The sequence below is a fragment of the Homo sapiens genome, chromosome 4 (genome assembly GCF_000001405.40).
Source record: "Homo sapiens chromosome 4, GRCh38.p14 Primary Assembly".
In the NCBI taxonomy this organism is placed as follows: Eukaryota; Metazoa; Chordata; class Mammalia; order Primates; family Hominidae; genus Homo; species Homo sapiens.
This window is the reverse complement of record NC_000004.12, coordinates 144,535,993-144,562,512: the sequence shown is the minus strand read 5'-3', so window position 1 is coordinate 144,562,512 and position 26,520 is coordinate 144,535,993. Positions and strand designations below refer to the sequence as shown.

At 37.6% G+C, this 26,520-nt stretch overlaps 1 long non-coding RNA gene across 2 annotated transcripts in view, besides 1 other annotated feature; it reads left to right on the top strand.

Moving 5' to 3' along the window:
- The first annotated feature begins 365 nt into the window (after window positions 1–365).
- The window catches only part of LOC105377462 (uncharacterized), a 360,687-nt gene continuing 334,532 nt past the window's right edge, over window positions 366–26,520 (top strand). For both annotated transcript variants that reach the window (XR_939273.3, XR_939272.3), the window contains exon 1: window positions 366–529. This is a non-coding gene — a long non-coding RNA (uncharacterized LOC105377462). The remainder of the gene's footprint in view (window positions 530–26,520) is intronic.
- Window positions 14,442–14,501: an enhancer, noted in NCBI's record as "active region_21957". NCBI's record gives its function as "activates an Ori minimal core promoter by ATAC-STARR-seq in GM12878 lymphoblastoid cells {active_cell/tissue: GM12878}" and the evidence as "EXISTENCE:reporter gene assay evidence [ECO:0000049][PMID:35858748]".

Here is a 26,520-nt window from a genome sequence, read left to right as displayed (position 1 = left end):
GTTACTGAGCCCGTCCTCCTGTGTGGTCATCTGGACTGCCTTCCTCGTAGGCACTGAGGGCCCGGAACAAGACATTTTCTCAGTGCTGTGCTGGAAGCTGTTCAAATGCAATTATGCTGTATGTCGTTGCGGAATAGATGACTTAGAGGTTCCACACAAATTGAATTTTGAGGCCAGCCTGAAATTACATTAGATTTGGGGGCTTTGACAAAAGCCTGTCTGAATCCCCCTGAAGTCCCTTAGGGTCATCTTTCTTTAATCATTCACTAATGTTTTTCTGGTTAGGTCACTGATTAATGGATGACGTACATCTCCATTCTCTGCCTACCTCCCAGTTTTTTAGTACTGTACATAATGTTTTATTAATTTGTCCTTTTTGGCTGCTGCCAAGACAGCATATATGGAACTGATTTTTGAACCTCAAGAAACTGACATTTTGAATTCTGCTTTGTATCATAAGCCTCAAATGCAAGAAGCTGTGATTAGAATGTGATAATAGCCGAGGTGCCATAATTCTCTGCTGTTGTATGTAAGTACACTCTTCCAATCAGAGAGCTCATGGGAATTAAATAGATTTGATTCATGAGAAAAATAAGAACTGGCCTCTCATGGGAGGAGGAACAAATGTCCATGCTCAGATCAACAGAATTCTGCATCTCAGATAATTACTTCATTTTTCTTGATAGCCTATTAAAGCAATAAATGTGAATCTCAGAAAATTGTTTAAGGCATAACAAAGCCAGAAACCTTTCTCCACCTTTACTTACTCTGTCTCTGCAAATTTAGCAGGCCACATAAGTATATAACCAACATATTTGTCAGGTTGTAGTATTTCTCTGATAAATAATAGAGTCAGCTTAGGCTACATATAAAAGTTTTTTTTACATTTCAGTTACAGAATCTATTAGGAAAACTTAATAAACAAAGTACAAGGCTGGGTGTGGTGGTCACACCTGTAATACCAGCACTTTGGGAGGCTTAAGAAAGAGGATCACTTGAGCCCAGGAGTTTGAGACCGGGTTGGGCAACATGGTAAGATACTATCTCTATAAAAAAATAAAAGTATTAGCAGGGTGCAGTGCCACATGCCTGTAGTCCTAGTTACTTGGGGGCTGAGGTGAGAGAATTGCTTGATCAAAGGAGTTCGAGACTTCAGTGAGCCGTGATTATTCCACTATACTCCCGTCTGTGTGACAGAGTAAGACTGTCTCAAAAACAAAACAAAACCAAAACAAAAAAAGAAAGTACAGTTTATGACATCTTCCACTTCTCTGATTAGCAGAGTTTTGCTAATAATATTTGAAGGCAGAGAAAAATGATGAAATGTTTGAGTGAAATTTGGGGGAAGAATTAAGAAGATAGTTGACATAAACTACTGCATAGTCTACTTGACAAAACTGATCAGCAAACTTGGCATCAAAGTATATTTTTATAAAATACAAAGTAAAATATATCTCAATAATTTTACTTTTTATTAACATTTACTAGAAGCCTACTATGTGCCAGCCTCTGTGTTGAACACTGAAGATATAATGAGACACTGTCCCTAGTCTTGATCAGGTTATGATTGAGTAGGGGAGACAGACATAGAAACAAAGGATTTCAATGCTAAACTAACTAAAAGGATTTCAAAACTAAACTAACTAAATTTAGTTTAGTTTTGCCTTCTTTCAAACTTTATATAAATGAAATCGTAAAGCACAGTTGACCCTTGAACAATATAGGTTTAAACTGCACGGGTCCACTTATATGTGAATTTTTTTTTCCATAAAAGTTATCCAGAGTGTGCCTGCCTCTCTTGCCTCCCCTTTTACCTCCTCTATCTCTTCTGCCTCTACCACCCCTGAGGCAGCAAGAACAACCCCTCCTCCTCCTCCTTCTCAGCCTACTCAATGTGAAGAAGATGAGGATGAAGATCTTTGTGATGATCTGCTTCCACTTAATGAACAGTAAATATATTTTCCCTTCTTTATGATTTTCTTAATATCATTTTATTTTCTGTAGCTTACTTTATTGTAAGACTGCAGTATATAGTATATAACATACAAAATACGTATTATTTGGGTGTTTATGTTATCAGTAAGGTTTCTGGTCAACATTAGGGTATATAGTTAAGTTTTGGGGTAGTCAAAGATTACATGTGGATTCATGTTGTTCAAGGGCCAACAATATGCACTCTTTTATATCTGGCTAATTTTCTTAATATTATGTTGGTGAGATTCATCCATGTTGCTTAACAATGGTTTGTTCATTCTCTATGACATATGACATTCTGTTACATGAAGATATCCCAATTTACCCATTCTCAGTGATAGAATTTGGGTTGTTTTCTGTTTGGGCCATTATAAATGTTGTCTCTATAAACATTCATATATTTGTCTTTTGATGAACATATGCCTTTATTTCTATTGCTTATACACCTAAGAGTGAAATTGATAGATTATAAAGAATGCATATAGACTATGAGGAATGCATATGCTCAGCTCTCTCAGATATGGCCAGCCAGTTTTCTGAAGTGATTTTTAGGAGTTTATGTAACCCCTGTTTGTGTATGTGAGTTCCATTTGCCTCACACTTTCTCCAACGCTTGGCATTGTCTGTCTTTTTTACTTTAGCAATCCTTTTAAATATGTAGTAGTCTGTCCTTGAAGTTTTATTTATGAAACCTGGGAGTTTCTTAATTATAAAGCCTAAGAGGTGTTTCATGTTTCCATGGACAACTCTTGTGAACAGAGAGCTGGGACATTTTGGAAATGAAGAGATCCTGTGATTTAGTCTGTTATTCAATGGGACTTTGAGTACTATAGTGTTGCTACAATATACTCTCAGAACTTTGAAGTATCCCCCAAATTCATGCCTTTTTCATAGTCTCTTCCATTCCATCTTGCTTTTACTTCTCCACTGGATTACCCAAACTCTGGACATAAGAATAAAAATGTAGTAATAGCTATTAGTTATTGTAGGCCAAGGACTATTTGCCAGGGACTGTTCCAAAGCACTTTACAGGTACATAGCTTTAAACCACGTGACAATTTTACGAGTTAAATGGTGTTATTTTTTTCCCCCCATTTTATACATGGGAAGAATGACGCACAGAGAGGGTAAGCAACTCATCCAGGTTACCTAGGAAGTCAAGGAGCCTGGATTTGAACCTAGGTGAACAGACTCCAAACTCAACCTCTCAGTCATTATAGTTCTCTATTCCAGTAGAGCTGGAAGCTTGCCCCCTTTCTCTTTAGTGTGTATTTATATTTTTCAGCAGAAATAAATTAGAAGAATCATAGTTTCTTGATAGATATCCTCATCTAACAAGATAAAAGCTCCAACAGTTATAGGTTTTTTACTGAATATGTATTGTTAGACATTGTGGTGCATGTAAGATGAGGAGTTTAATAAGATTAAATAATAAGTTTAATAAGTTGCCAGGGTCAAATGGTGTGTTAATGGCAGAAGCAGGATCTGAGCCTAAATTCAGACTCGGATTTCCTTATGAAGTTTGGAATCTAATGCACAGAAAAGAATTTAAATACATGGTAAAAAAATTGCAAAGGGTAAAATTCTGTATAATCCAAGCCAAAATTCTTCCAGGTTTTTTTTTGTTTTTTTTCATACGTTGTATGATTTAATCCTTATAACAAACTTACAAAAGCGGTATTGCAATTCGTATAGATAAGGCGAATGAAGCCCAAAACATCACGTAACTTTCTAAGGGACATGACTCTGAACTCTGATTTTGTTACACTTCATTTTGTCATCCCTTATCTCAAGGCATTTGGGGAAAGTCATATTTAATTATCATGTACTTATATATATACATATCTAATACAATCTTTTTTCTTTTTTGGTTTTTCTAATATGATCTTAAAACAGGTCACAAAATGATGTCACAAACCCAATGAAAGATAGTAAGGTGTGAAATCACTAAAGAGATCGCGTATTTTAAATTTTTTCTTTGCTTCCTGAACTATTTTACATAGGAGATATTGCTGATTACTGTGAGCAGTAGGTTGGCTTTTAGACATTTTGTTTAAACATAACAGCTGAGAAATATCAGCATTTGAAATTTACAGCTAAGCTTCATCTATTTTGGATAGAAAGATCTTTTTCTTTCATATTCTTAAATATCAATAAGAAAAAGAGAGAAAGCAATTCAGATTCATAATCTGATGACATCTTCTCTGGCCCAAGGAAGAAAGTACTAAGTTGACTGACATCAACAAACAGGTTCTGGGTACATACCAGCAAGTCAACATGGCCTATTCTTCCTAAACTTGGACCTGTTCCTTTGAGTACCCATGTTATTTTACACACGCATGTACACACACACTCTCCTTATACATGCATGTATAAACACACACACGTCAGAGTTACGGCATACTTCTCCTCCCCAATGTAAACAAATTATCTGTTTAATTGGATGATTGAAAACTTTTCTGTTGACATTTTAAAAAAAATTTTACCTCAGCCTCCAAAAGTGCTGGGATTGCAGGTGTAAACCACCTTGCCCAGTCTTCCAGGTTTTAAATGTAAACGACTCTATTAACTCTGTGAGTCAAACCATCTAAGTTGCTTTTAATTTGCCTTTGCTATAGCATATTTTAACTGGGTTTCTCTCCAAATTTCTGGTCTACTTTTGGGGGGATGTAGAGATTGTGTTTGTAATAGTATTGATATCCAAATCTCTTCATAAAGATCAAATTCAGTATTTGAATTACTAATGAACTTAAAAAAAATATATATATATATATATATATATATGAAAGATTGACTTAATACTAGATATTAGCTAAAAACCAAAAGGAAATAATGCAATCCTATTGTGTTTTTGGGCCATACAAGTCTACTCTTCTAGATTAATTACCCCAGAAATAAAAAGGAGAATCTGTTGTTAGTGACTTTTATGCCATCCGGTGGACAGCACTGTGATTTTCCTAAGACCAACTAAAGAAAACAAACCTAATTTCCATGTGCCACCATGCTGATAAATGTTGACTCTAAAAATGACATTAAGTATTTCAGTGCCACCCAGCATGTAAACATCTATGTCATATGTTACTTGTAAACTGACATCTGTAATGTTGATGAGGAAGGCAGGGTCAAAATTAAAATGTGATCTTGCCAACTTTACCACAATGATATTCTCTGTTTTCTTGCAAAGACTACTCTGAAATTAGAAAAACAAATCTTCCCATACTTTCCCTGAATTTTCCAAGTTGCTCAGACTTTTGTTTGAATTTGATGGACATCCTTCTTCATCTCAACCACATACACTTTGCTCTCATGGAGTCTCAGAGTCATTCACTTCTTTTTTAGATTTGAGACTCCTCTAAGGCACTAGTGGATTATGAAATCACGTAGGAGAGTGTAACCAGCATTTTAATAATTAAAATGACATAGAATAGAATAGAAAATAAGATATAGTGCGTCCCACTGGTTCGTGAAGCTTGTTGCAGTTGGACATGCGTGCAAAAGCTCTGTGCTGAGTCCTGATGTGATCTGTATTTTTGATTGTGGCTGTATCTGTGCCAGTTATCTCCCTATTGTCTCTCAGCTCCAAATCCACCCCCTCTACACTGCTCTGTGATGTTGGCATTGGGACCCTCCTTTGCCAGCTGGTTCCTTCTGCAAGTGGAGGAGAAGGTCAGAGGAAAGAGAAGAGGCTTCCTTTCTGTGTTTCTGTTTCCCTCAGCATGGCTCCAGCAGCTGCACTGGCTGCAGCCTCCGGCTTCTTTCAACTTCTTTCAGCTTCTGTCAGACCTCTAGCAGCAGAGCTACCAGCAGAAGTCAGATGCCACCACCTCTTCAAAGCTACAACATCAGCTCTTTGGAGCCCCTCCTTCAATCTTCTGGTTACAGTAACCCCACCTTCTACTTTCTGTCCCTCTTTCTCAAGGCATGGGCTAATTCCTGCTGTTATTATCTCTAGATATTCTTATAGTGTTCCCCTTCTGTTCTTTCAGCCTTTCCACACTTAAGTAATCAATTCCTCTGTTTGAAGAGCTAATGTGATTTTTATTTTCTTGACTAAATCCTGACTGATACCTGGTCAAAAAAATTTTTTTAAGCCACTGCTTCTGGGCATTGACTCTTCGTCTTACCTCACTCATACAATGTCCGTCAGAGCAGCTTGGACACACTGATACCTCCTAAATCCCACCAATCTTTGATGATAGAATGATGTTTGGCTCATTAGTATATTTTCACCCCAAAGGAAACAAAGAGCATAAAAGGAAATATGTACAACATAGTACATTTAATTTGAGAGTTCAAGGCATTTCAGCATTTATCATGGTATTATAGGCATGGGATAGAAGAGCAAAACTAGGAAGTGGCTAAATAGGAAGTAGAACCAGCTTTCCCGACACTTAGATTATCCTTGCTTCAAGATGCACTGCTGTGTTGGAGAGTTTTGGTGTCTATAACCTTATACCTGCCATGCCACCTACACACACACACACACACACACACACACACACACACGCTCGTGCGCTAAGTGATGAGTCATTGACATTTACCCTGAGCAGTGGTTAATGTTTGGTTATAGAAATGAAGGACACCAAGAGAGGACTAACTTTGCCCACTTAGGAAAAGGAATGGAGAGATCTAGGGATGAGGTTGCAAACTGGTAGCTCATGGGTTTCATCTGGCTGGCAAATACGTTTTCCTTGACCATGTGGTATTTTTTAAAGATATTAAAGATCCTATTTCCAGTGTCTCTTTGACAATCGGGAGCCAGTGAATACGGGATCCTCATCCCTACAGGCACCAAGTGCTTTATGAGGCATTCATTGTCTAGTTTGCCATAGTCCCTGCCAGTCTTTGGTACCTGGAATTTCTGCTCTTTTCTTTATGTTGCCCACCTGGCTCCTGCGGGCATTTGCATTTTGACTCTTAACCTAGAGGAAGTGTCCCAGGGTGGTAGGGACTGAAGCCATGTGGCTGCAGAAGAGATGGAGGAGGTGGAAAAGAAAAAAAAATAGATGCCAACTGAGGTGCTGAGTGAGCTAGGAGGGATGAGACAGCTGCCAAGGGAGAGAGCGTTTTGGGAATGTATGGAGAAGGGTAAATGTGGATGTCTATAAAGCTGTGCTATGTGATAGACCCCCATTCTCCATCTGTCCACAAGAATGCCAATAAAACTATCTTACTAGGGTGAGTGTGTGTTGCTTTCTTTTGTGGGGAGACCATTGGCAATGGGCTAACACTGACATAGAGACAGGTGGGACTAGAGGAGAAATAGCTTGGGAAAGCCCAGGCACAGGCCAGTACATGACATTCTCTGAGTAATTTTTTTTTAAATAAAGTTTTTGAAGTTCCTGAGTATAATTATTTAAACATTTGCTACAAAATATTAAATATAATTAATGATACCTATTAACATTCATCAAAAAATATTGCAAAAATAACATTTCTCAACTATTGCTTGATGAAATCACTCTCTTCACTACCTCTCCCATGGTCTCAAACACTTTTCAGAACCTTTTACCACTTGGTGCCGAACTTTTAAATATATATTATTTTATAAATAAGGTATATCTATCTGTCTACATATAACTATAAAACTATATGTAGAGTTATAAAGCTATATGCATAAAACAATATACAGCTGTATAGAAGTATTTAAAACTATCAACCTATAAATGACCTGGCTTTATTGATAAGCTAAAAATGTGCACCTTTTGTTTTAGGGAGTTTTGTAATTTATTTCTTAGATTATATGTAATTATTGGAATATTCTTAAAAAATAAGCTTGGCCAGGAGTGGTGGCTCACGCCTGTAATCCCAGCACTTTGAGAGGCCGAGGCGGGAGGATCACAAGGTCAGGAGATTGAGACCATGCTGGCTAACATGGTGAAACCCCGTCTCTACTAAAAATACAAAAAATTAGCTGGGCTTGGTGGCGGGCACCTGTAGTCCCAGCTATTCAGGAGGCTGAGGCAGGAGAATGGCGTGAACCTGGGAGGCAGAGCTTGCAGTGAGCCGAGATGGTGCCACCGCACTCCAGCCTGGGCGAGAGTGCGAGACTCCATCACAGAAAAATAAAATAAAATAAAAATAAAATAAGCTTGTGAAGTCATATGAAATCATCTATAATCCATATTAAATATGTATATGTGTGTGTGTCTGTGTATATGTGTATATGTATAATCCATGGCAACCAATGAAAATTGGGGTATCCTTTCTTCCAATTATTCCCTGTGTGAGAGTATGAGTAGCAGACATTTGTTTGTTGCTTCACCACCCACCCTTCCATTCCCCTTTCTTAAAGGTCACCTGAATCTCCTAGCCATGTGATTTGGCTGGAACTTACCTCACCTCTGGTTGGGAAGGATGGTGAGAGGTGTTACACCTTCTTAGCTACAGGGATGGGTTCAGGGTTGGGAACAAGAAATAAGACAAAGAAACCAGGACCCTGTTCAAACCCTCTTTCCCACCTAACTTGAATGAGAGTACCTGCAGCCTCTCTATGCTCTAGGGCAGGACCTACCTGCAAATGAGAGCAATGGCACAAAACTAGAGCGGAAAAATGTAGTGTGAGAAATGGGGTCCTGGCACCATATTTGGACTTGGATCAACCTTTGAAGCCAATTTTATCCTTGAATTGTTCAGTTATATTATCAATACATTCCCTATCATGCTCAAGACAGATTAATGTTTCATTTGTATATTTGTAACACCTTCTGATAAGGTATGCATGTGTGCATGTTGGTGGGCAGGTATATGTATAACAAAACTGCTATTATCCTGAATATGAAATTTATATCTTGCTTTCTCTTTCAAGTAACATTATATCATAAATAATTTCTAGTACCATTAAATAATCCTCAAAAACATGATTTTAATGGTATATAATATTGCACAAAATGGATGTGCTTTCATTGAAGTATTTCCTACCATCAAATGTTTAGGTGATCTCATGGGCTTTCAAAATACTTACATCAATTTCCTCAGTCTCCACTCACAATACTATACAGTTCACTTGCTCAAAATGGTCTCCTTTTGGTTTCTTCTTTTCTGAGCCCTGTGCTTTTTGTAGACCTAAGATAAACCTATCATGCTGTGTCCATCAAGTAATTCTCTCTTGTTTGCTTAAAAGTTTCTTCAAGTGTCACTTTTTGCAAGAAACCTAACCTTAAAAACATGTCCCAAAACCACCCATTACAGCATCACTGACAGATGATTGGTTTTTGTCAAGTTGTCCAAAGAAAACAATTTCTTATTTAAAAGAGAGAAAAGTATACATATATGGTGAAAACATTCTTCTTGTGTTGCCTTACAGTGTTAATATCTAGATATTCCATCAACATAAGACAACAGTAAGCCTGTGATGACTTAACTTCTAGGTTGACGACTTCCTCCTACCAAACGTTCACCATTAGTTCATTTCTCAAGATCCTTTATTAATTCCAGAGTTTATTGAAAGTAACGAAGGACCACGGCATCAATTCATTCTCCTTGCAGAGCCGACATAGACTCCAGAAACCAACTCAGAGCACTGGAATATTGCAAATTGGTGCTGTTTCCTTTGCCACCAGAAGTTTAAACTGAAAGATTTGCAGCGCTGAATGGGGTGGGTTTCTTTTTGGCAGGAATCTCCATAGCTTTTAGTAGAGATGAAAGTGATCACTTGTGCTGCATTTTCTTGCTTTTTACCTTAGGAGTTAGCTCCAGAGGAAGGGAGCTGATATCCTTGGTCACCATGAAGCTCCTTTTCCTGTCTTTACAAAGTTTAAAATTTTGATGTAAACTGTGAAATGTCCGTCAGTATCTGTTTGAATCATTCATCACTGTCTAACTGTGCCTGGTTTCTGATCAGTAAAATGGAGGTAAGATATTTCACAGAATGTTTGTGAAAATGCAAGGACATAACACATATGCAAATGCTTAAACTAGACAAAATATAATTCTGTGAGTTGACTCAGTGAATTGAAATCTATAATGGTTCTGAGGAGTTTTAAAAATGTGTACTTAATTAAAGCAAAATGATCTGGAATGAAAAAATTCATAAAATGAAATGAGAATTATTTACGCTTTATGAAGCAATTAAGTTTAATTAAGCATCCAATAAACTAGAAATACTCTTGGCTCCACCTTACTGTCACTTTTATCCAGGTAAAAGCTTAATGAAATGTCTCCGCATTGACCAGACTACATTCTTCATTTATCAAACTGTGAAATAATCCTCTTCCTATACTTTTTTGTTATAATATTTTCACTTACTTATATTAGTGCCTTTAAAAAACTGAATTTAGAGAATTCTCAACTTCTTTGTCCACAATTGCTCAGCATTCATTACCTTTATTTCTAAAGGTTTACTTTCTTAGATAATACAATTGTTGTTGTGGGAAGTCAGGGACTCTGAATGGAGGGACCGGCTGAAGCCATGGCAGAAGAACATAAATTGTGAAGATTTCATGGACATTTATTAGTTCTCCAAATTAATATTTTTATAATTTCTTATGCCTGTCTTTACTGCAATCTCTGAACATAAATTGTGAAGATTTCATGGACACTTATCACTTCCCCAGTCAATACCCTTGTGATTTCCTATGCCTGTCTTTACCTTAATCTCTTAATCCCGTCATTTTCATAAGATGAGGAGGATGTATGTCACCTCAGGACCCTGTGATAATTGCGTTAACTGCACAAATTGTTTGTAGAGCATGTGTGTTGGAAAATATGAAATCTGGGCACCTTGAAAAAAGAACAGGACAACAGCAATGTTCAGGGAACAAGAGAGATAACCTTAAACTCTGATCACCGGTGAGCTGGGCGGAACAGAGCCATATTTCTCTTCTTTCAAAAGCAAATGGGAGAAATATCGCTGAATTCTTTTTCTCAGCAAGGAACATCCCTGAGAAAGAGAATGCATCCCTGAGGGTAGGCCTCTAAAATGGACCCCTTGGGTGTGGCCATCTTTTATGGTCGAGCTGTAGGGATGAAATAAGCCCCAGTCTCCCATAGCACTCCCAGGCTTATTAGGACGAGGAAATTCCCGCCTAATAAATTTTGGTCAGACTGGTTGTCTGCTCTCAGACCCTGTCTCCTGATAAGATGTTATCAATGACAATGTGTGCCCAAAACTTCATTAGCAACTTTAATTTCACCCCGGTCCTGTGGTCCTGTGATCTCGCCCTGCCTCCATTTGCCTTGTGATATCTTATTACCTTGTGCAGCACGTGATCTCTGTGACCCACACCCTATTTGTACACTCCCTCCCCTTTTGAAAATCCTTAATAAAAACTTGCTGGTTTTATGGCTTAGGGGGCATCAGGAACCTACCGACATGTGATGTCTCCCCCAGACGCCCAGCTTTAAAATTTCTCTCTTTTGTGCTCTGTCCCTTTATTTCTCAAACCGGCTGACACTTAGGGAAAATAGAAAAGAACCTACGTGAAATATCAGGGGTGAATTTCGCCCGATATCTGGCTGAATTTCCCCTGATAAGTTGTCTCTAAGTATCTATGGGAGAATTGGTTTCAAGACCACCCCCCACCCCTGCTGAGATAACAAAACCTGCAGATGCTCAGGTGTCTTATATAAAATGGCATAGTATTTGGATACAACCTATGCACAGCCTCCTGTGTACTTTATCTCTAAATTATTTCTACCTAGTACAGTGTAAATGCTATGTAACTAGGTGTTTATTATAGTATTTAGGGAATAATGACAAAACCAAAATCTGTACATATTCAATACAGATGCAACTATCCATTTATAAAAATATTTTCAATTCGTGGTTGGTTGAATCTATAGATGTGAATCCTGCAGATGTGGTGGCCCAACTGCATACTCAGCAAACTGCCTACAGCTAGTTCCTGTGCTTCCCTGCCCCTTGCTCTAGTTATATGGTTATATTCTACTGAGAGGCAAGTTTTAGAATGGCGAGACTCTCACCAGTTTGTTTCTTGTGGTATCCCAGTACTTAGAATCATGCCTAGCACATAGTAGACTCTCAGTGGATATTTTTAATGATTGAGTAAATGAATAAACAACAACAATAGTAGCAATCACATAAATGAGTATAGTTTTAGCTTCTATTGCTACTGTAAATTGTCACAAACTTGATGGCTTAAAACAATATACATTTAAAGTTCTTTGGATCAGAAGTCCAAAAAAGATCTCACTGGGCTAAAGCCAAGGTGTCAGCAGACTGCATTCCTTTCTGGAGGATCTGGGGAACAATCTCTTTCATTGCTCAGTTAGATTTTTGGCAGAATTCTGCTCCTTGCAATTGTAGGATTAAAGCCCCTGTTTTCTTGCTGGCTTTTTAGCTGAGGAAGATTCTCAGCTTCTAGAGCAAGCTTGTCCAACCCACGGCCTGTGGGCTGCATGTGGCCCAGGACGGCTTTGAATGTAGCCCAACGCAAATTTGTAAACTTTCTTAAAACATTATGAGTTTTTTTTTGCTTTTTTTTTAAATTTAAGCTCATCAGCTATTGTTAGTGTTCATGTAGTTTATGTGTGACCCAAGACAATTCTTCCAATGTGGCCCCGGAAAGCCAAAAGACTGGACACCCTTCTTCTAGAGGCTACCCACATTTTTTGGCTCATGGCCCCTTCTTTTGTCTTCAGCCAGCAATGGTAGGTTGAGTTCTTCTCATGCTTCAAATCTCTCGCCCTCTTTCTCTTGTTGCCTCTCTCTCTGACCCACTCTTCTGCTTTCCTGTTTGCTTTTAAACACCCACATGATTATACTGGGCCCATCCAGATAATCCTGGATAATATTCTTATTTTAAGGCTTGCTGACTAGCTACCTTAATTTCATCTGCAACTTTAATTTCCTTTTGTAATGTAACATATCACAGGTTCTGGGTACTAGGACATGGATATCTTTGGGGGAATTATTATTCTGCCCACTGCACTGGATTAAAAACTTTTTATGGCCTGGTGTGGTGGCTCATGCCTGTAATCCCAGCACTTTGGGAGGTCGAGGTGGGCAGATCACTTGAAGCCAGGAGTTCGAGACCAGCCTGGCCAACATGGTGAAACTCCGTCTCTACTAAAAATATAAAAATTAGCCAGGTGTGGTAGCATACGCCTGTAATCCCAGCTATTCAGGAGGCTGCGGAAGGAGAATCATTGAACCTGGGAGGCAGAGGTTGCAGTGAGCCAAGCTTGTGCCACTGCACTCCAGCCTGGGCGACAGAGCGAGACCTCATCTCAAAAAAAAAAAAATAATAATAATAAATAAAAATAAAAATAAATAGAAATGAAAACTTTTTTTACTATTATCCCACTTAATATTCAGAACTAGCCTATAAGGGAAATTTTTCTTATTATTTGATAGATAATAAAATAGAAGCACAGAGAGGTTAAATAACTCCTCCAAGATTATAGGATTAGTAGAGGGCAGGCCAGGATTCCAAAATATTCTGTTCGAGTCAATAGCACACATACGAACCATAATGTATTCATATGGTATGAATACAATTCTGATGGAAATTAGTCCCCTTAGAGTTGTTCAGTGAATGAGTGCACAGCTGTACATGCCAGCTCTGACTACTAGTACATACTGCCTTTGATTTTCCCAGTGCTGCCATGGTGAAAACAATGATATCTTTCTTTATCTTCTGGAGGAAATGAAGAACTTTCAGGATAAGACTAATCTGAAAAGTCCTTTCCATTTCCTAAAAGGCTTTAAACTCCAAAATATTACCTATTTATTACTGACAAATATTGTTTTTACCTGTGGCAACTTTATAATTTACTCTTTTGCCAAATCATAGCAGCTATTATTTAGGCTTTACTTAATGATCATTTTGCACAGTAGTCTATTCTATGGCTCACACTTTGGGTACATCCTTTCTGTGAGAGCTGCCTGATTGACCTGTAATGCATCTCAGACTATAGCAGGAAGTCTCCAGCTTATTTTAACTATAGCTTTTTCCATTGTAAAATAGGCAATGATAAAATGAGTAGATGTAAAATTCTAAGACAAGTGGTTTCAGACTTACATAGCATGCTTACAGATGTCTCTTCTACAAAATCTGCGGAATTAGCTGGATGTTAAAAGGAATTCTCATTCTCATCTATTGTCCCTCTCACCTGCTTTTTCCTTCTTCCTTCCTTGAATTGTGTTCAGAAATTCCGACTTGAGTTCCATCTTACCAGAAGTGGCTATCAATGAGAAATGGAATAAAATTTCAGAGGCATGGGAGGAGTGGTCAGCATCGGTCAATCAGAAAGCAGGAATATCCCAGGGCACAATACATAAGCCCACCCCAAGGAAGTCAGTTCAGTTCTACATTCCACCAAATGAGGGAATCCAGGCTGCTTTTCTTCCCTTGCATCCAAGACCCTCTTGGCCCAGCTCTTTAGATTGGACTGGGCTACATTTGGGAGAAATCAATAGGCCCCGTACTGCAAGACTGAGAGGAACAGAGGCATGTGGAAAGAGGAAGTAGCCTAGTTCTACCACAGAGAGTAAATCTGACAAACATTTGCTAAAAGTTGGTGGTGATTGTCCTCCAGAGAATGTGGGAAATAATCCAATGAGAGGTGGGAAGACAGAATAAGAACTTCCACTATATTTTTTAAAAATCCTATGTTTAAAAATATTTCTTGTTTTTACATATACATACATAGATGTAAGGAATCAAGAAAAGTTTGGAAATGACTATGCTCAAGCTCAGTTCTCAGTTCCTCTTGACAAGTTTCTAAGGTATATTTCAGTGACGCAGAATGTTTCACACCATGTTCTTTGAGATGTAAGGAGCATTGGGGTCATCACAAGAGTAGAGAGGGTTGGTCTGATCACTCAACTTTGTTCAGTTAGACAGCTTCTCTTTGGTTTCTTTTGTATACTGTGGCTCTACCTAAGATTTATTTTAATAGATAAATGACATTGATTTAAAAATAAGGTTACCTTACTTTTAAGGTACATCAAACAGAGTAGTGTGCTATATGGCAAGCAGTTCTCTGTATCCACGGGTTCTGCCACCACGATTCAACCAAATATGGATAAAAATATTTTAAAATAATATTAGTATAATAAAAATAAAACAGCAATACAAAACAATACAAATAAAAACAACACAATATAACAATTATTTACATAACACTTACATTGCATTAAGTATCATAAGTGAGATGATTTAAAGTATAGGGGAGGATGTGTGTATGTTATTTATATGCAAATAGAGTCATCTGTCAGTGTCCGTGGGTGATAGGTTTCAGAAATGATGTGGATTTCAAAACCTGAGTATGCTCAAATCTGTATATAAAATGATATAATATTTGCATATAACCTACACACATCCTCCCATAATCATCTCTAGAGTACCTATACCTATACAATCCCTAGATATCACTTCATTCTTGTGTATTCAATGTAATACACGTTGTGTGGCAAATTCAAGTTTTGCTTTTAGAAACTTTGTGGAATTTTCTTTTTTCCAAATATTTTCGATCCTCTGTTGGTTGAATCCACAGATGCAGAACCTATGCATATGGAAGGCCAACTGTACTACTGAGGAATTTGGACATTCACAGATTTTGATATCTGCAGAGGTCCTGGAACCAATCCCCCACAGATACCAAGGGACAACTGTATCAGCAAATATAGCCTAAATGTAAATATCTTTGTGTTACTTATGAGGCAATGACAGACTGTATCCATTAAAACAGTGAGGCAGAGGTCTTTTGTTGCCTGGAATGTAGAAAGCTGGAAGGAACACTACCTCTACCCTGACAATGAGAAAAAGCCAGATAAACCACAAAATTGCAACTTCTCTTGAGGCCATCAGAGAATTGAGGTTGTGGAACAATTAGGCGGTCTGAAATCTAAACAGGGGCACCTTTGCAACCACCCACCCCCTGGAAAGAAAGGATGCCATGATTGACTTACCTATGCTTTGCAAAGCACAGAAGGAAAATGCAAGTGAAAAGGAAGAAATCAGCTAAAATATTAATGCATTTCTAAAGGTCGAGTGTGGGGGTTCATATTCATTGACAGGTTATTTTCCTTAGATCTTTTATGGATGGTCATGAGAAGGATTAGGGTCGGGGCAGGGTACCAGAGAGAGCCTCTTTTGTGCGCAGATTTGGTGGAGGGGATCAGTCATGAGTGTGAGAAAAGACATGAAGCCCTCCCCAGTTTGGACCTTTCTCTCAAAGAAAACAAAAGCCCTTAGTCACTGGGTGTCTGTATTTGAACTGCTTCAGCCTGGTCCAAGGAAGAATTATCTTAATGGAATTTCAGCTTAATATTATATTAGTATCTTTAAAAACATAATAAAATGTCTGCAAAAAGTTAATAAAAAATAACCTTCTGTACCTGTAACAAAAATTTTCAGGAAGAACCTTGCTAAGACTTTATGAATTATTTTTTAAAACTAATGGCAACTCCAGCAAGAAACCCAACAGAATAATGAATACATGTGTATTTCAAAGGAAATTTAGAAAAGAATATCACTAAGAGAGAACTTACACTAAGTAATTTTAAAATGTTTTATATAGTTATGGGAATTAGTGCAATTTGGTGTTGACACAACTCAAATAAGGGAGTTTAAGAGTAAACTCAAGTCTATATAGGAATTTACTATTTGATAAAGTTGACATTTGAATCAATCAGAAAGGCTGGAATGGCAAGTTAGAGAAGGGAGATGACAGTTGAAACAGGAGCAAATGACATACACACACATGCACACATATACCCATAGAAAATATATCAAATATATAGAGACTTTTGCTTTGCATGGTGTTGGAATCCATGGCTCAACTAGCATGATTATTTTGGTGACATCCATGGCTCAGTTCTTTTGAGAGTGCAAGAAATTGCTCAAGTGGCCAGAGTAATATAAATGGCAAAATCCTGTTCCAATAGTTTACCTGATTTCCTCTAGATAGTAGACCCTGAAGATTGTAGACTACGAAACCTAATAAGCTCCATGAAGGCAGAGACAAGGTCAGTCTTATTAAAAGTTGTTCTCCTAACCAAGTAGGAACTCGATATGTTGAATAATGAATAAATGCTTGGAAATTGTTTGTCTTTCTTTCCATTAGGTAGCAGGCCTCAATCTGTATTTCTTTGTGTTTTTAAGTTGCCTTATGTTATATCTGGCTACATTATCATTAGCTGAGGTATTATGATGTAATTTTGATTGCATTTTACCCTTTAATAGTTCATGAGGTCAGTTCCCTAAAGCCAGAAAATGAATTAGTGTTGATCTGTGATAAACTTTTCACTGGTCTGTGATAAAGTAAGGAGAGAAATTATTTATTTATTTATACATGTCTGTAAAATGTTGACAAATATCATTTTGGGGCGAAGGATTGCTATATTTTCACCTGAAATTATATCCTTCATATTTTTTATACCAAAATCATGGTGACAACAGATAGTAGTTACTTTTTTAAAGCCCTTATTTAAATAAATCAAATGCTGACCATTCTACATACATTCCCAATTGAAAAGAGAATTGTCTCTGGAATTTGAATGTTGATATAATGATTAAAACTCATCTTAAGTCAGAAAGATCTTACTTCTTATCCTGACTTTGCCAATTGTTAGTCAAGTGACATTATGTCTCAATTAGACTTCTTCAACTTCTGTTTAAAATTAGAATGATGATAGTGTTTAGAACAGTACTTTTATTCAAATGTGATAGGAAATGTTTACCTGTTAATACATTATTACGTTACACAGTAGACTCCTTCAGTGCTAGGCCTTGTTTCCCTGTCCAACATTCTATTCTCAGCACTTCATCAGTTGCTAAATATATATATGTTTGATCCCTCTTTAACACTGTCAACTTTTGCTTTATATATTTTGAAGTTACGTTCTTTTGTATATACAAGTTTAGGGTCACTACAATTTTCTGTTCAGTTGACCATTTAATCAACATGAAATGCTTGACTTTTTGTCATAATACATCTTGCCTTAATGTCTACTATGTCATATAGTAACACAGCTACACTAACTTTCTTTGTGCTAATTTTTTAATAGAATATGTTTTCATTTGGCCAGGCATGGTGGCTCACGCCTGTAATCCCAGCACTTTGGGAGGGAGAGGCAGGCAGATCACCTGAGGTCAGGAGTTCAAGACCAGCCTGGCCAAGATGGCGAAACTCCGTCTCTACTAAAAACACAAAAATTGGCTAGATGTGGTGACAGGTACCTACAGGTATTACATCCCAGCTACTCAGAGGCTGAGGCAGGGGAATTGTTTATACCTGGGAGGTGGAGGTTGCAGTGAGCTGAGATTGCACCACTGCACTCCAGCCTGGGTGACAGAATGAGACTCCATCTCAAAAAAATAAAAGAATATGTTTTCATTCTTTTATCTGCAAACTTTTCTTTTTGTATCCTTAGAGTAAAATCGTCCCTTCTGTTAATAGCATATAATTGAGACTTATTCCTTTTACACAGACTAGTAGTTTTTGTATTCTTCCTAGATTTTTCAGTTTGTTGTTCAGTTAATGTGATTAATAACACAGTAGAATTCAGATATCTATTTAACTATTTTTTTTGTTTGCCCCATCTTTTCTTTATTCCTTTATTCCTCCTTTCTTCTCTACTTTTAGATTAATAAAAATTTTTCCTTACCCCATTTTTATTTCTTTATTGGCCTATTTGTTACAGATTATTTTATTAATTTTTCAGTGGCTATCATAAATATTACACTATGCATTTTTGATTTAATACAGTCTATCTAAAATTAGTAACTTAATCGCATCCTAAATAATGCAAGACTACTACCATACTTGAACTCCATTTATTTCCCTCTTGCCCTTTGTGTAATTATTGTCACATATTTTACTTCTATCATATGTACTGTGTTTTGAATGCATCCCCAAAGTGTGCTGGAAACTTGGTCCCAGTGCATCGGTGTTGAGAGGTGGGATCTTTGGAAGGTGATTGGGTCAAGAGGGCTCTGATTCATGAATGGATGAATCCATTCATGGATTAATGAGTTATTGAAGGAGTGGGCTAATTATTTTGAGCATGAATCTGCATAAAAGCCAGTTTGGCTGTCTCTTATGAGCTGCCTCACCAAATGATGCCCTGCATTGCCTTTTAAATTGTATGTCAATGCCTTGGGATAGCTGAAATTTTTTTTCCAGGAGCTTCAAGATTATTGCAGGATCTGGCCAGCAGCCTGCAATGCAATGGGCCTCTCTCTCTCTTTGTTCCCAGGCAGATCAGTATGTTGAGAAATAATAGACACACACAAGATAGTGAAAGCTGGGACCAGGGGGGTCACCGCCTTCTGGTCCCGTGATGTCAACAATGCACTGGATATACCAGCATTTATTATTAAGTTTAGTGAGGGCAGGGGTAAGTTAGTGAGGGATTTAGGGTCATTTGATTATGAGGTGAGATGGTCATATGGGGATGAAGTAATTCTTTAACATAACATCTGTATGCAGAAGTACAGTATACAGAGGTAAGAATTTACAATATAGTGTGTGCATCAGTAATTTCTAACAGAGCCTTAAAACAGAAACACAGTCTTTCCATAACCTATGATTAGCAAGATATTAATCAGCAGTAACAGTTGCAGCAAAAGCTGGTTACAAACAATCCATAGAAACAGGACGTGAAGCTAGACAACCAGTTAGACCAGAAATTATCAGAAGGGAGTAAGCCTTAACCCTAAAGAGGCCTAGAAGAGCCGTGCTAAGATGAGGGCTTTTATAGCCCTATCTTATGGCCATATGGACAGGTGCCCCCCTCCATGCGTCTGTTTATAGGCTCTCCACAAGGGTCGCATTCCATTCCCAGAGCTACAAAAGTCTGCTTTACTGGGATAGGAATCTTGGTGATGTGAAACCTCCCTGACTGCATGTCCGTTCACAGGCTCTCTGCAGGAGGAAGCACATCATGCGCTGTTGGCTCATTCTGGCAGTCCAACCTGGCATTGTCTTTACACAATCCTGCATGCAATTTTGTATTTACAATAATCAGGAGCATTTCATCTTTTATTCCATAGCAATAGTTTCAGGGGGTCTCCCTACACAAGATGTTACTCTTTTTTCTTCTGGATTCTCTAGTTTGCATTGCAAAGTCAGTTGTCAATGTCGTTGTTGTTCCCTTAAAGGTTGTGTGTGTTGTTGTTGTTTTTCTTCCGGCTGTTTTTTTTTTTTGGGGACGGAGTTTCGCTGTTGTTGCCCAGGCTGGAGTGCAATGGCACAATCTCGGCTCACTGCAACCTCCGCTTCCTGGGTTCAAGCAATTCTCCTGCCTCAGCCTCCCAAGTAGCTGGGATTACAGGTGCCTGCCAGCACACTGGGCTAATTTTGTATTTTTAGTAGAAATGGGGTTTCACCATGTTGATCAGGCTGGTCTCGAACTCCTGACCTCAAGTGATCCACCCACCTCGGCCTCCCAAAGTGTTGGGATTAGAGGCATGAGCCACCATGCTTGGCCCTGGCTGTTTTTTAATATTTTCTTATTGTTGGTTTTCAGCTGTTAGACCATGATGTGCCCAGGTATAGTTTTCTTTGTATTTCTCCTGCTTGGGACTTCTTAGGCCTCTTGAATCTGCAGGTTGATTTTTTTCTTTTTAATCAGCTTTACATCTTGGGTATTATCTTTTCAGGTATTGCTTCTGCCTCATTTTCTCCTTTTCCATTTTTATCTCCTTCTAGGATTCCAATTACATGTAAATTCAACATTTACATTGGATACAACATTTCTTCTTATACTCAGCTCTATTAAAAAAAATTTTTTTCTTTGTGTTTCAATTTGGATATTTTCTATTTATCTGTCTTTTAGTTCAATTATGCTGTCTTTTGTAGGTCAGTCTGCCATTATTCAAGTTCTTATTTTCAGATATTAAATTTGTAGTTATAGATTGTCATTTTTGTTCTTTATAATAAATTCCAATGTCCTGTTGAAATTCTCCATCTTTTCATCTATTTTCCTTTAATTTCTTTGATATATTAGAACTGATTATTTCAAAGCCCTTATATCCTAATTTTAATCTGAATCATCTAAGATCTCCTGCCATTATGTTTTATTTCCTTGATTATCAGCCACATTTTCCAGTCTCTCCACAAATCTAGAAATTTTAAATTGTATGTCAAATATTATACACAAGAATCTTTAGAGGTGACAGATAATATCATCTTCCAGGAGGGTTCCATGTTAGAAAGATAGTGTTAGGGGCTGGTCTTTTCATTTCCAAATTCATTAAGGTGAGTCAGAACTGGATATATATGACTTACTTTGAATCAGTTCACTTCTGTTTCTTAGGCATGTTCTTCCAGGTCTTTTTATTCAAAGTTTCCATCATCTTAGCCTTGAGAGACTGAGATTCAGTCTGCCCTTCAGAGGTTTGGGACTTTGGTCTTCGGCCTCCTGCTTCCACTGCTTCCAACTTTGGCAAATGTCTTGAGGAGGAGTCCAGCCCTGTGTTTGAAGCAAATCCCATCCTCAAATGGGACTTTCTCTTAAGTACGATGGTACTAGAGGATATTTTAGTTTGCATTACAGAAGTTTCCTAGTTTCAAAACTCAGCAAGCATACTGTGGAGAAAATTAACTGTGTAAGTTTACATATGATCAGGAAAAGCTTTGCTGATTTCTTATTTTCCCAGTGAAGCACCTCTGTGAGGGCCAAGCTCAGTCTGATGCCCATGTCTAGAATTGGCAAATCTTTCCAATTCAGAAGAAAATGGTCAAGCACATACTGCTCCTCTCAGAAAGGTTCTTCCCTTTATGGCTTGTTAAATTCTCTTTGATTCATTGATTTTCCAAGGTCTTTTAAAATACATCTTTTCACAGTGTACCTGGTGTTTTAAATTTGCTATAGCAGAAATAGTGATTCTTGTCATCTACTGTCTTCTACTGGAAACCAGAAGATTAAATAAATATGTTTAAATGAATGGATAAATTTCTCAAAAAGTTGTGAGAATGAAATTCTATAATATATTTAAATTATATAGCATAACATTTATTAATATATTTATGTTCTTAAGTTGGTGCAAATGTACTTGCAGTTTTGCCATTAAAAGCAATGGCAAAACCCACAATTACTTTTGAGCCAACCTAATAGTATTACAATTGGCTTATAGTCTTTAATTTTCCAGTCCATTGGTCCTAATTTTTGTTTTAAATGTATCCACATTTTTTGCCTTATAAGAACATCTAATTCTGCTTAAATCTCATGTTTTTATGAGTCAGAGTAATTTTGTATCTTTGCTTAAACTTTGCATAATTTGGAAATGTCTCGCTCTTTTAAAATTTTTTTCTTTTTCTCTTTGCATCTTGCCATAGAATTAAGATCATATCTGTCATTAATATAGTCCTCACACCAGACAGTGGGTCATGCATCAGAGTGGTTATGACAATATTTTCTGGCAATCATCAGCAGAGTTGGTGAATGAATGGATTAGGTATGACTGGCTCTATTCATTTTTCGAGGGTAAACCTCCTTCAAAAATATTGAAGTGACTATAGCACTGGATACTGTTTGAGGGAACAGAAGTGGGGTTAAGCTCTTATTTTTGTTTTTTATTTTTTGACATGGAGTCTTTCTCTGTCTCTGAGGCCAGAGTGTAGTGGTGCTATCTTGGCTCACTGCAACTTCTGCCTCCCAGGTTCAAGCAATTCTCCTGCCTCAGAGATTAGCTGAGATTACAGGCACATGCCACCACTCCCAGCTAATCTTTGTATTTTTTGTAGAGATGGGGGTCTCACCATGTTGGCCAGGCTGGTCTCGAACTCCTGACCTCAAGTCATCTGCCCACTTCGGCCTCCCAAAGTGCTGGGATTACAGGTATGAGCCACCATGCCAAGCCTTAAGCTCTTATTTTATGGGACATGGTGAAACCTACAATTCAATGGAACAGAACTTAATGTCAGTGTTCACGCAGTATTAAAATATTCTTGGTGTACTAAGTATGTGAATTAGCTTCAGGTTTTGTGACAGCTTTGCCACAGCCATAGAAAGTTCTTGATTGGCTTGATATCTTTATTGACTTTTTTTCTTCAACCATAAAACATAAAAATAAAACAGAAGATCAATGATTAATATCACTACTGCTCTCACTTGGTCTTGTTGCTACACTTTAGGCACATTAGGCTTCTTACTCCTTTGGTTGTCAGTGAGGTATGATGATGAAAATGTTAAGGAGGTAAGCAAGAATTTGCTTTCTATCATCTTTAACATTGGATATGATTTGAAAAACCTCACTGCGTTCGTTTTAATTTCTTTATACATAAAAGTGGTTTAATGCAGCCTTCCAATTCTGTAACGTCATTATTATTTATGAGTATTTATCCAGTACACTGTGTTTTCAATGTACTTTATAATCACTAATTAGCTATTCAACAAAATACCGCTATGAAATAGGTCAGGTAAATTACCTTTACTTTATAGGGATGCAAACTGAGACACAGAGATTTAGTGGCATGCCTAAAGGTATACAGCAAGCCAGAATAGAGAAGCAAGTCAGAACTCTTGAGTTCTTGATGCTCAGTCCTATGAATGACACTAAATATTTTATGTGCATTTTAAGATTCTAAAACAAAAAGAATTTCTTACTGATACAATCACAGGGCAATGTGAGTTGAGAGGAGCTGGCAGGTAGGGAAGATAATCAGGAAAGTAAGCTAGATCTGAGTGGAGGCAGGTGATGGTGGTGATGGTGCTGATGGTGATGGTGGTGGAGTATGTGTAAGGGGTAGAGATTAGTAGACCTGAAGTTGAGGTAAAAATTAATCAATTTTTTCTATTCGCTCTACATATGGAGTTAATGAAAGTCAAGTTGCACATTTATAGTTGGAATTTAAATCTGACTGTACTTTATGCAAATGCAATTGGCAAATTTTTCGGTAAAATATCATTTTGACAGGTTTCATTAATTTTTAAAATGCTTATTGAGTTTCTTCTGAATTGTAATATCATCAGTGGGTCACAGTAGCCCAGCCAGGAAGAACAACAGAAAGCCCTACATTTTAAGTACAGCAATGAGTATAGAGCTTCCCCAACCCAAACTTCGGTTTTGATTTGTCCAGGCAAAAGCCTGTTATTACTTTGGTCAGTCTTTCCAGAGAAAACTAGGAATCCATTTACTCATTAAGAAATATGGGAGGCCCAGTGCTGTGTCCTAGAGAAACAATTCTTGAGTAAAGGATGGTTAACAACAAATAAAACAATGTTCAAAGTGTTTTAAACAATTCATGTTGTGTAAGCACATTAGCTCCCTGGCCTGTAATTAGTGGTTTCCTTACTTGTTGCATGTGCCATCCCCATTCTGGCCTCAGTGTGGCAAAGAATCCTGTGATTAACTGGCTACAGGAAAGGTTGCAACAGAAACCAACCTAATTTTAAACCCTTTAAATAGCAGCTTAATGTTGAAGCACAACAAATACAACCAATCCGAGGTTTTTTCATTAACCACTCTTGATGGGAGGAAATGGTAACTCTCAAGAAAGAATAGAAACGCCTTTGGTCCTAAAGCAGTTATTCTGCTGTAGATCCCAGTGCTGCAAAGCAGGGAGGGATGCCCACACAGAAGGAGCACCAGCAATTCAAAAATGGGACTCTGCAATGGAAGTGAATCATGCTCAGAGTAACAAGTATTTTCTCTGCTTTCTTTCGTGAGTGCTCTCGAGCCAAATAGCAGAAGGGAACGAGTGAGCAAAGACATGGTTTGGAAGTCAAGGCAGTTGTCCAAGATGGTGCCAATGAGTGATTTGGGGGAATTTAAGAAAGAGTAATATTATGGCTGGTTTTTCCAACTAAGTGCCTCAACTCAATTTTGCTAAGAGACACCATTGGCAATTTTGTGCTTGCATCCAAAAGGATGTGAAAAACAACTACAAAATAAGCCAGTTGCCCCATTTCCTTTCCTTTTCTGAGTAATAATAGCTTTCTATCTTTTGATGTGCTGATTAAAAAATAAATTCCTTCATATAACTCATGTTTTGCTGCTAGCAGCAATTGGTTGCATAAAAGACCAAATTCATTAAAACTCCCACACACAGACTCAAACACAGCAGTTTTGAAACATCTGATCATTCTAACATTAATTTTCAAATTAGGAAAAATTTTACCTACTTCTTCTCAACCGCATTGAACATTTCAAATTGTTTCTTTTATGTCTTGAAACAAACTGTAAGGAAAAATGGTTTTGAGAATTGGGTGAATAGAGCTGAGCTACATTTCTTGCTGCTTTGTGCTGCTTAGTTTCTGCCCTAAATTAGCACCAGCCCTGAGGCTTACCCTAAAAATGTAATCACCTGCAGATTTCCTCCATCCTTTCAGAAACCTGGAAAAAAAAAAAGATGATGAACAGGCCAAATGGCAACAAAAATAGCCCTTGTGCTGTTAATCTGCTGGAGATGGCCATTACACTTAGGGCAGAGCTATGAAATGTGTTCCTCCCCATTATGGGAGTGCAGGGGGTGGGGAAGGTGGAACCAAATCCCCACATTTGATTCTTTTCTCTAAGAGCCTTTTAAGGAAATTGTGACTCTGTGTTAGAGCCAACGGGCTATATCCTATTAGTTCATCTCACTCCCTTCTGCCCTGTGCCCCTTGCCCCCTGCCTTATTAAGATCTGACAAATATCCAACACTAATCACTTTCCACTTAGCTTTTCAGAAGTGGTAGCACTGTCTGGCCAATGACTTTCTCCATCAGGCACCTGGGGAAGGGATCCCAGACATTTTCCTAAAAGCTGCATGTTTGGACTTTCTCTCTGATGGAGGATGTGACAGCCATAAATCAGAACACATTGTGGATGTTAACATTTTGCTGCACAATTGCATTTGTTGATGAAATGGAAGTTCATGGTATGATGAGTGGAAAAAGTGGGTTACAAAAGAGTATGTATAATATGATTTCATTTTTATAACTATCTGCATTTTTAAAAGCCTGAAGGCATATTCAACACTATTTGGGGAGTAAGCTTTGTCTTGCCTTTTTAAAATCACATTTTGAAAAATGTTTTTAAAAATTCACGTGTATAATTGTGTAATACAATCAAATCAATTTTTGATCATTTCAAAGTATGTTTTAATGATAAAGAAACAGAAAAATTTATCAAGAAAGTGATGATATTCTTCAGTAGTCTGCAAAATGACATAGCTTCTGTGTAACAACATTTTCCAGATGAATAATAATAATGATTATGGTACTGTACCAGCAGCTGTATGACTGTTATCACTAACCTTCCCAATAGTTCTGTGAAATGGACATTACTTTTATTCTTCCAATTTTACAGACAACTGAGGCTCATGGAGTCTATGTAACTAATCTAAGTAATAGCTAGGGAGTTATGAAGCTGAATCAAGTTTGCCAATTGGGGAAAATGTCCAGTCACACTTATAATGAGGAGATTTCAACGGATATCAATTTCCCAAATAGGTCTATCATTGTTAATGAGGAGGGCTTGAATGGGAATGACTAATAAGGTTTATTACTGTGTTTTAGCCAATCCACAAGACAGTCTCTTCCCTCTAAGAATTCCTAGATGACAAAGATGACAAAATGTGGATGCATGTAAAATATAAAGCAGATAAAAGCACATCCTTTCATTTACTTGTAATTCCCAAATAATTTTT